Raw genomic sequence first — 12269 nt, forward strand, 5'->3', positions numbered from 1 at the left:
TCTCAGCACCAGCAGTGAGTTTACCACTCTTGTTCCTCTGAGATTCCCCTGCCTGGGCTCAAGGCACCCCAAAACGTGGATGTGGATTCGGGTAGGGATCTATCAAGCAGTTTGATTCCAGTCAGTCTCGTCAGAGAATCCTTACCAAGGGCATCCACATCTGTGACACCAGCTGCCCATCAGCGGCCTCGATTTGTTTCCAGTTTGCTGCTCCAAAGAGGGATGTCTGTAACCTTCCAGTCTAGAGTCTTCCCAGCAGCAGAGCAGACGGCCAGGCCATTGGTGCCAGGTAAGAGTTAGTTAACATGTAGCAAATTTCTTTGCGGGAAGCACTGGCGAGGGCATTAGGACTGCAGTGAGTTCTGCCCACTGAGCAGAGTGATCATGTTCACTTATTGTTTTATGGAGATGGTGCTGAGGCTGAACACCTACAGCAGCTTTGCTTTAGGGGGCATGGTTGGTGATAATGTTTCCGCTAAAGGGATTGCTGCCAAGATGCTGCTAAGGAGAGGCCAACTGGCTCTTGAATACTCCATTTCCTTTTAAACGGAGAGATCTCTTAGGCTCTTCTCACTTTTTTAGTCATTGAGTGAGTTGATACACCCCAAAATGGGGATGGCAGGCCAAAGAGTCACAAAGCATCCTCGCGTCAGGCATTCAGTTCCAGCAAGAGCTTGGTCACAGCTGCCTTGGAACAAAAAAAAAGTTTATTTGGCTTCTCTTCCAGCAGGTGGCGCTGTTATACTAGGAACTGCCTCTGAGTAGTCCTGCAGCCATTAAATCTTTAATTAAATTGATTTCTCTTTCTCTTGCTGTGATTCTTTGTCTCTGCTGGGCCACCAGGTATTGTTTAGGTAGGTAAGAGGGGAAGAAAAAATGATACCAGAAGGAAATGTGGAACATTAGAAATGAACAAGAACAGAAATGGCAAATATCTGGATAAGTATAATAGGTTATTCTTCTCTTGTTGAGTTCTTTAAAATATGTAAGACAATTAAAAGCAAAAATTTTTAACACCATTTTAAAAAGTTTCAAAGTATGTAGCTGTAATACATGAGACAATTACAACAAAAAGAGGAGGAAGGTAAGGAGATCCATATGGTGGTAAGATTCTGATATTCCACTTGAAATGGTGAAATATCGATTCTAAATAGACTACAAAAAGTCAAATATGTATATTGTAATCCTTAGAACACTGAAAAATTACACCAAGAGTTAATGCCAAAAACCCACTAGAGGCCGGGAGTGGTGGCTCACACCTGTAATCTCAACACTTTGGGAGGCTGAGGAAGGTGGATCACTTGAGGTCAAGAGTTTGAGACCACCCTGGCCAACATGGTGAAACCCTGTTTCTACTAAAAATACAAAAATTAGCTGGGCATGGTGGTGCATGCCTGTAGTCCCAGCTACTTGGGAGGCTGAAGTGGGAGAATTGCTTGAACCTGGGAGGCAGGGGTTGCAGTGAGCCTAGATTGCACCACTGCACTCCAGCCTGGGTGACAGAGAGAGACTCCATCTCAAAAAAAGAAGAAGAAAAAAAAAACCCAATAACACACACACTAGATAACTTAAACTAGAATACTAAAAAAGAAGTTTAAGTAAACCAAACAAAGGAAAAAAAAAAAGGTGAACTAAAAATACAGAAAAAAGTAGAAAATAAATAATAATTAGAAGACCTGAATCCAAACATATCAATAATTACATTACATGTAAATGACATAAACACACCAATTAAAAGATAGAGATTGACAGAATGAATTTTATAAAAATGACTCAAGTACATGCTCTCTATAAGAAACTCTCCTCAAATATTATAGTATAGGTAGGTTAAAAAGAAAAACTATGGAAAAAAAAAAAAAAACTGCACATTGAAGACCCCAACTGAAACAAAACTACTATGTTAATATCAAAGTAGACTTCAGAACAAAGAAAACTACCAGGGTTAAAAAGGGATATTACATATTGGTAGAAAAGTTAATTCACTGGTACTGGCATAACAACAGACACATAGAACAATAGAACATAATAGAGAACCCAAATATAAATCCACACATTTATAACCAACTCATCTTTGACAAAAGATCCCAGAATATGCAATAGGGAAAGGACAGTCTTTTCAATAAATGGTGCTGAGAAAACTGAACAACTAAATGCAGAAGAATGAAACCAGATCCCTATCTCTCACTATACACAAAAATCAAATCAAAAAGGATTAAAGATTTAAAAGGACTAAAACCTGAAACTATGAAACTACTAGAAGAAAACATTGAGGAAAAGCTCCAGGCAATCAAAGCAAAAATAGACAACGGAGATTACATCAAGTTAAAAAGCTTCTGCACAGCAAATGAAACAAGGTGAACAGGCAACCTACAAAATGGGAAAAAAATATTTGCAAACTGTCCCTCTGCCAAGAGAGTAATAACCAGAATATATAAAGAGTTCAAACAACTCAATAGCATAAAACAAATAATCTGATTTTAAAATGGGTGTCTGGGCACTGTGGCTTACACCTATAATCCTAGCATTTTGGGAGGCCAAGGCGAGAGGATAGCTTGAGCCCAGGAGTTTAAGATCAGCCTAGGCAACATAGTAAGACCCTACCTCTTGAAAAAAAAAAAAAAAAAAGTAGCTGGGTGCAGTGGCATCATGCACCTGTATTCCCAGCTCCTTGGGAAGCTGTAGTGGATCATTTGAGCCCAGAAGGTTGAGGCTGCAGTGAGTAGTGATGATGCCACTGCACTCCAGCCTGGGTGAAAAAAGAACAAGACCCTGTGTCAGTTAAAAAAATATTTTAAAAGAGTAAAAAGTATTAAAAATTTAAAAATAAATAAAAATCGGCAAAAGATCTGAACTGACATTTCTCAAAAGAAGATATACAAATGGCCAACAAGTATATGAAAAAATGTTCAACATCACTAATTATCAGGAAAGTGCAAATCAAAACCACAACGAGGTATTATCTCACCTTGTTTAAAATAGCTTGTACCAAAAAGGCAGGCAATAACAGATGTTGACAAGGATGTGGAGAAAGGGGAACCCTTGTACACTGTTGGTGGGAATGTAAATTAGCACAGCCACTATGGAGATCAGTATAGAGTTTCCTCAAAAAACCAAAAATAGAACTATCACATGATTCAGCAATTCCACTATAGGGTATATATCCAAAAGAAAGGAGGTCAATGTATCAAAGAGATGTCTGCCTTCTAATGTTTATTGCAGCACTATTTACAAAATCCAGAATACAGAATCAACCTAAGTGCCCACTAATGGATGAATGGATAAAGAATATGTACCTATACACAATGGAATATTATTCATCCATAAAAAGAGTGAAATCTTGCCATTTGCAACAACATGGATGGAACTGGAGGCCATTATGTTAAGTGAAATAAGCAAAGCATAGAAAGACAAACACTGCATGTCCTCACTTGTGGGAGCCAAAGAAGAGATCTCATGGAGATGAAGAGTAGATAGGTGGTTACCAGAGGCTGGGGAGGGGGGAGGGGGGAGGGGAGAGGGGAAGGGGGAATGAAGGGGAAAAATAATGTAAATTATTTATCACCACAGAATTTTACACTTAAAATGGTAAAGATGGTGAATTATACATGTATATTTTACCTCAATACACTTTTTTTAAAAAAAAAAGAAAAATCAATTCATCACCAGGAAAGCACAACAATTCTAAATGTATGAGCACTTGAGAATAGAGCTTCAAAATGCAGAAAACAAAAATTGTCAGAATATAAAAGGAGTAGACATGCTGACAATAATACTTGGAGATTGCAACACTCCTTTCTATGTAATATATAGAAATAGTGGCAAGGATAGAATGGAACACTATCAACTAACTTGAATTAAGTCATATTTACAGAACACTACACACTACAACAGCAGACTACACATTCTTTTCAAATGCACATGGAACATTTACAAAGATAGGCCATATTGTGAATAACATATCCAACCTTAAATTTAAAAGCACTGAAATCATACAAAGTATGTTTTCTGACTATAATGGAATTAAACTAGAAATCAATAAGAGAAGGATAACAGGAAAATTTCTAAACAATAAGAAAGCAAACCACACACTTAAAAAAGGGAAATCAGAAAATATATTGAAATGAAAGAAAATAACTATGTAACATATCAAAACTTGTGGGATGTAGCTAAAGTGGGAAGGGAATTTGCTGCATTAAATGATTGTATTACAAAACAAGAAATGTATCAAAACAACAATTTAAGCTTCTGCCATAAGAGACTAGGGAGGAAAAGAGCAAAATAAACCCAAAGTGAACAGGAGGAAGGAAATAATAAACAACAGTGTATTAAGGAAATTGAAGGGGGGGAGGAGCCAAGATGGCCGAATAGGAACAGCTCCGGTCTACAGCTCCCAGCGTGAGCAACGCAGAAGATGGGTGATTTCTGCATTTCCATCTGAGGTACCGGGTTCATCTCACTAGGGAGTGCCAGACAGTGGGCACAGGTCAGTGGGTGCAGCGCACCGTTGCACGAGCCAAAGCAGGGCGAGGCATTGCCTCACTCCGGAAGCGCAAGGGGTCAGGGAGTTCCCTTTCCTAGTCAAAGAAAGGGGTGACAGACGGCACCTGGAAAATCGGGTCACTTCCACCCAAATACTGCGCTTTTCCAACGGGCTTAAATAACGGTGCACCAGGAGATTATATCCCACACCTGGCTCGGAGGGACCTACGCCCACGGAGTCTCGCTGATTGCTAGCATAGCAGTCTGAGATCAAACTGCAAGGCGGCCCCGAGGCTAGGGGAGGGGCGCCCACCATTGCCCAGGCTTGCTTAGGTAAACAAAGCAGTGGGGAAGCTCGAACTGGGTGGAGCCCACCACAGCTCAAGGAGGCCTGCCTGCCTCTGTAGGCTCCACCTCTGGGGGCAGGGCACAGACAAACAAAAAGACAGCGGTAACCTCTGCAGACTTAAATGTCCCTGTCTGACAGCTTTGAAGAGAGCAGTGGTTCTTCCAGAATGCAGCTGGAGATCTGAGAACAGGCAGACTGCCTCCTCAAGTGGGTCCCTGACCCCTGACCCCTGAGCAGCCTAACTGGGAGGCACCCCCAGTAGCGGCAGACTGACACTTCACACGGCCGGGTACTCCTCTGAGACAAAATTTCCAGAGGAACAATCAGACAGCAGCATTCGTGGTTGCCTGATACCCAGGCAAACAGGGTCTGGAGTGGACCTCTAGCAAACTCCAACAGACCTGCAGCTGAGGGTCCTGTCTGTTACAAGGAAAACTAACAAACAGAAAGGACATCCACACCAAAAACCCATCTGTACATCACCATCATCAAAGACCAAAAGTAGATAAAACCACAAAGATGGGGAAAAAATAGAGCAGAAAAACTGGCAACTCTAAAAAGCAGAGCACCTCTCCTCCTCCAAAGGAACGCAGCTCCTCACCAGCAATGGAACAAAGCTGGACAAAGAATGACTTTGACGAGTTGAGAGAAGGCTTCAGACAATCAAACTACAAGCTACAGGAGGAAGTTCAAACCAAAGGCAAAGAAGTTAAAAACTTTGAAAAAAATTTAGACGAATGTATAACTAGAATAACCAATACAGAGAAGTGCTTAAAGGAGCTGATGGAGCTGAAAGCCAAGGCTCGAGAACTACGTGAAGAATGCAGAAGCCTCATGAGCTGATGCAATCAACTGGAAGAAAGGGTATCAGTGATGGAAGATCAAATGAATGAAATGAAGCGAGAAGGGAAGTTTAGAGAAAAAAGAATAAAAAGAAATGAACAAAGCCTCCAAGAAATATGGGACTATGTAAAAAGACCAAATCTACGTCTGATTGGTGTACCTGAAAGTGATGGGGAGAATGGAACCAAGTTGGAAAACACTCTGCAGGATATTATCCAGGAGAACTTCCCCAATCTAGCAAGGCAGGCCAACATTCAGATTCAGGATACTCCTTGAGAAGAACAACTCCAAGACACATAATTGTCAGATTCACCAAAGTTGAAATGAAGGAAAAAATTTTAAGGGCAGCCAGAGAGAAAGGTCAGGTTACCCACAAAGGGAAGCCCATCAGACTAACAGCGGATCTCTCAGCAGAAACTCTACAACCCAGAAGAGAGTGGGGGCCAATATTCAACGTGCTTAAAGAATTTTCAAGCCAGAATTTCATATCCAGCCAAACTAAGCTTCATAAGTGAAGGAGAAATAAAATCCTTCACAGACAAGCAAATGCTAAGAGATTTTGTCACCACCAGGCCTGCCCTAAAAGAGCTCCTGAAGGAAGCACTAAACATGGAAAGGAACAACAAGTACCGGCCGCTGCAAAATCATGCCAAAATGTAAAGACCATCGAGACTAGGAAGAAACTGCATCAACTAATGAGCAAAATAACCAGCTAACATCATAATGACAGGATCAAATTCACACATAACAATATTAACCTTAAATGTAAATGGACTAAATGCTCCAATTAAAAGACACAGACTGGCAAATTGGATAAAGAGTCAAGACCCATCAGTGTGCTGTATTCAGGAAACCCATCTCACATGCAGAGACACACATAGGCTCAAAATAAAAGGATGGAGGAAGATCTACCAAGCAAATGGAAAACAAAAAAAGGCAGGGGTTGCAATCCTAGTCTCTGATAAAACAGACTTTAAACCAACAGAGATCAAAAGAGACAAAGGAGGCCATTACATAATGGTAAAGGGATCAATTCAAAAAGAAGAGCTAACTATCCTAAATATATATGCACCCAATACAGGAGCACCCAGATTCATAAAGCAAGTCCTGAGTGACCTACAAAGAGACTTAGACTCCCACACATTAATAATGGGAGACTTTAACACCCCACTGTCAACATTAGACAGATCAACGAGACAGAGACAGAAAGTTAACAAGGATACACAGGAATTGAACTCAGCTCTGCACCAAGTGGACCTAATAGACATCTACAGAACTCTCCACCCCATAACAACAGAATATACATTTTTTTCAGCACCACACCACACCTATTCCAAAATTGACCACATAGTTGGAAGTAAAGCTCTCCTCAGCAAATGTAAAAGAACAGAAATTATAACAAACTATCTCTCAGACCACAGTGCAATAAAACTAGAACTCAGGATTAAGAAACTTACTCAAAACTGCTCAACTACATGGAAACTGAACAACCTGCTCCTGAATGACTACTGGGTACATAACAAAATGAAGGCAGAAATAAAGATGTTCTTTGAAACCAATGAGAACAAAGACACAACATACCAGAATCTCTGGGACACATTCAAAGCAGTGTGTAGAGGGAAATTTATAGCACTAAATGCCCACAAGAGAAAGCGGGAAAGATCCAAAATTGACACCCTAACATCACAATTAAAAGAACTAGAAAAGCAAGAGCAAACACATTCAAAAGCTAGCAGAAGGCAAGAAATAACTAAAATCAGAGCAGAACTGAAGGAAATAGAGACCAAAAAACCCCTTCAAAAAATTAATGAATCCAGGAGCTGGTTTTTTGAAAGGATCAACAAAATTGATAGACCGCTAGCAAGACTAATAAAGAAAAAAAGAGAGAAGAATCAAATAGACACAATAAAAAATGATAAAGGGGATATCACCACCGATCCCACAGAAATACAAACTACCATCAGAGAATACTACAAACACCTCTATGCAAATAAACTAGAAAATCTAGAAGAAATGGATAAATTCCTCAACACATACACTCTCCCAAGACTAAACCAGGAAGAAGTTGAAATCTCTGAATAGACCAATAACAGGCTCTGAAATTGTGGCAATAATCAATAGCTTACCAACCAAAAAGAGTCCAGGACCAGATGGATTCACAGCCGTATTCTACCAGAGGTACAAGGAGGGACTGGTACCATTCCTTCTGAAACTATTCCAATCAATAGAAAAAGAGGGAATCCTCCCTAACTCATTTTATGAGGCCAGCATCATCCTGACACCAAAGCCTGGCAGAGACACAACCAAAGAAGAGAATTTTAGACCAATAACCTTGATGAACATTGATGCAAAAATCCTCAATAAAATACTGGCAAAACGAATCCAGCAGCACATTAAAAAGCTTATCCACCATGATCAAGCGGGCTTCATCCCTGGGATGCAAGGCTGGTTCAATATACACAAATCAATAAATGTAATCCAGCATATAAACAGAACCAAAGACAAAAACCACATGATTATCTCAATAGATGCAGAAAAGGCCTTTGACAAAATTCAACAACCTTCATGCTAAAAACTCTCAATAAACTAGGTATTGATGGGATGTATCTCAAAATAATAAGAGCTATCTATGACAAACCCACAGCCAATATCATACTGAATGGGCAAAAACTGGAAGCATTCCCTCTGAAAACTGGCACAAGACAGGGATGCCCTCTCTCACCACTCCTATTCAAAATAGTGTTGGAAGTTCTGGCCAGGGTAATTAGGCAGGAGAAGGAAATAAAGGGTATTCAATTAGGAAAAGAGGAAGTCAAATTGTCCCTGTTTGCAGATGACATGATTGTATATCTAGAAACCCCCATCATCTCAGCCCAAAATCTCCTTAAGCTGATAAGCATCTTCAGCAAAGTCTCAGGATACAAAATCAATGTACAAAAATCACAAGCATTCTTATACACCAATAACAGACAAACAGAGAGCCAAATCATGAGTGAACTCCCATTCACAATTGCTTCAAAGAGAATAAAATACCTAGGAATCCACCTTACAAGGGACGTGAAGGACCTCTTCCAGGAGAACTACAAACCACTGCTCAATGAAATAAAAGAGGATACAAACAAATGGAAGAACATTCCATGCTCATGGGTAGGAAGAATCAATATCGTGAAAATGGCCATACTGCCCAAGGTAATTTATAGATTCAATGCCATCCCCATCAAGCTACCAATGACTTTCTTCACAGAATTGGAAAAAACTACTTTAAAGTTCATATGGAACCAAAAAAGAGCCTACATTGCCAAGTCAATCCTAAGCCAAAAGAACAAAGCTGGAGGCATCACACTACCTGACTTCAAACTATACTACAAGGCTACAGTAACCAAAACAGCTGGTACTGGTACCAAAACAGAGATACAGATCAATGGAACAGAACAGAGCCCTCAGAAATAATGCCGCATGTCTACAACTATCTGGTCTTTGACAAACCTGAGAAAAACAAGCAATGGGGAAAGGATTCCCTATTTAATAAATGGTGCTGGGAAAACTGGCTAGCCACATGTAGAAAGCTGAAACTGGATCCCTTCCTTACACCTTATACAAAAATCAATTCAAGATGGATTAAAGACTTAAACGTTAGACCTAAAACCATAAAAACCCTAGAAGAAAACCTAGGCATTACCATTCAGGACATAGGCATGGGCAAGGACTTCATGTCTAAACCACCAAAAGCAATGGCAACAAAAGCCAAAATTGACAAATGGGATCTAATTAAACTAAAGAGCTTCTGCACAGCAAAAGAAACTACCATCAGAGTGAACAGGCAACCCACAAAATGGGAGAAAATTTTCGCAACCTACTCATCTGACAAAGGGCTAATATCCAGAATCTACAATGAACACAAACAAATTTACAAGAAAAAAATAAACAACCCCATCAAAAAGTGGGCGAAGGACATGAACAGACACTTCTCAAAAGAAGACATTTATGCAGGCAAAAAACACATGAAAAAATGCTCACCATCACTGGCCATCAGAGAAATGCAAATCAAAACGACAATAAGGTATCATCTCACACCAGTTAGAATGGCAATCATTAAAAAGTCAGGAAACAACAGGTGCTGGAGAGGATGTGGAGAAAAAGGAACACTTTTATACTGTTGGTGGGACTGTAAACTAGTTTAACCATTGTGGAAGTCAGTGTGGCGATTCCTCAGGGATCTAGAACTAGAAATACTATATGACCCAGCCATCCCATTACTGGGTATATACCCAAAGGACTATAAATCATGCTGCTATAAAGACACATGCACATGTGTGTTCATTGCGGCACTATTCACAATAGCAAAGACTTGGAACCAACTCAAATGTCCAACAATGATAGACTGGATTAAGAAAATGTGGCACATATACACCATGGAATACTATGCAGCCATAAAAAATGATGAGTTCATGTCCTTTGTAGGGACATGGATGAAATTGGAAATCATCATTCTCAGTAAACTATCTCAAGAACAAAAAACCAAACACCGTATATTCTCACTTATAGGTGGGAATTGAACAATGAGAACACATGGACACAGGAAGGGGAACATCACACTCTGGGGACGGTTGTGGGGTGGGGGGAGGGGGGAGGGATAGCATTGGGAGATATACCTAATGCTAGATGACAAGTTAGTGGGTGCAGCGCACCAGCATGGCACATGTATACATATGTAACTAACCTGCACATTGTGCATATGTAGCCTAAAACTTAAAGTATAATAATAATTAAAAAAAAGAGAAAGAAAAAAGGAAATTGAAAATAGAAAAACAATAGAATCAATGAAACCAAGAGATGGTTCTTTTGAGGATCAATAAAATTGATATATCACTACTCAGACTGACAAACTTAAAAAGAGAGAAGACAGAAATCACCAAATCAGGGCTGGGCATGGTTGCTCACGCCTGTAATCCCAGCATTTTGGGAGGCCAAGGCAGGCAGATCACCTGAAGTCAGGAGTTTGAGACCAGCCTAGCCAACATGGCAAAAGCCCATCTCTACTAAAAATACAAAACTTAGCCAGGTGTGATGGTTCATGCCTGTAATCTCAGCTACTTGGGAGGCTGAGGTAGGAGAATCACTTGAACCTGGGAGGCAGAGGTTGCAGTGAGCTGAGATCTCACCACTGCACTCCAGCCTGGGTGACAGAGCGAGACCTCATTTCAAAAATAAAGAAAAAGAAAAAAGAAGAAAAAGAAGGAAATGACCACATCAAGAATGAAAAAGGGAATATAACTACAGACTTCACAGATATTAAAAATATAATAGCATCTCTATGCAAGTAAAATTGACAAATTACATGAAAGGGACTAAATCCTCAGAAATCACAAGCAATCAGTCTCACTCAAAATGAAGTAGACAACTCAAACAGTCCTTTAACAATTCTAAAAATTGAATTTGTGGTTTAAAACGGCATTAAAAAAAATCTCCAACTCCTAATGTTTCCACCAACATACTTCTTTTCTTAATACAACAGCTCTACTGGAGGATTGCTCACATACCACACAATTCACCCACTTAAAGTGGGCAATTTAATAGTTTTTGGTATATTCACAGAGTTGTGAAACCATCATCACAATTTGTTTTAGAACATTTTATCTCAGCAAAGGGAAATCCTGTATCCTCTAGCAATCACTCCCTATTTTCCCCCAACCCTCCAGCCCTAAAGGACCACTAATCTTTCTTTCTGTATGGATTTACTTATTCCAGACATTTCATATAAATGGAATAATACCATATGTAGTCTTTGTGACTAGTTTCCTTTCACTTACCGTAATATTTTCAAGGTAAATCTGTGTTATATAGCATGTATCTGTACTTCATTTCTATGGTCAAATAATAGTCTATTGTATGGGTATACTACATTTGATTGATCCATTCAAAAGTTGATGGATGTCAGGGTGGTTTCTACTTTTTGGCTATTATTAATAACATAGCTATAAACATTTGTTTGCAAGTTTTTATGTGGAGTTGTTTTTTCATTTCTCTTGGGTATATAGCTTGAAGTAGAATTGCTGGGTCATATTGTAACTATATATTTATCTTTCTGAGAAACTGCCAGACTTTTCCAGAGTAGCTGTACTGCTTACATTCTCACCAACAGTGTATGAAGTCTCTAATTCCTCCACATCCGTATAGCACTTATTATAATCTCTTTTTTTTTTTTAATTCTAGCCATCCTAGTGACTGTGCAGTAGCGTCGCAATATGGCTTTGATTTGCATTTCCTTGAGGACTAACAATGTTGAGTGTCTCTTCATTTGCTTATTGGCCATTTGTATGTCTTCTTTGGAGAAATGTCTATTCTGATTCTTTGCCTTTTTATTATTGAATTGTGTTCTTTATATATTTTAAATACAAGTTATCAGATATATTAGATACAATTCAGATATATATATTTATATATTTAGATACAATTATCAGATACATAATTTGCTAATATCTTCTCCTATTCTCTAAATTGTCTTTTCACTTTCTTGGTCATATTCTTAGAACAAAAGTTTTTTAAATTTTGATGAAGTCCATTTTATCTTTCTTTTGTTGCTTGTGCTTTTGCTGTC

The 12269-nt window shown here is 39.3% G+C and overlaps 1 annotated feature.

The window, feature by feature from the left end:
• Positions 578-872: an enhancer, noted in NCBI's record as "tiled region #7575; K562 Activating DNase unmatched - State 12:CtcfO". NCBI's record gives its function as "activates a minimal TATA promoter and a strong SV40 promoter by Sharpr-MPRA in K562 cells {active_cell/tissue: K562}" and the evidence as "EXISTENCE:reporter gene assay evidence [ECO:0000049][PMID:27701403]".

This window comes from Homo sapiens, chromosome 18 (genome assembly GCF_000001405.40).
Source record: "Homo sapiens chromosome 18, GRCh38.p14 Primary Assembly".
Classification (NCBI taxonomy): Eukaryota; Metazoa; Chordata; class Mammalia; order Primates; family Hominidae; genus Homo; species Homo sapiens.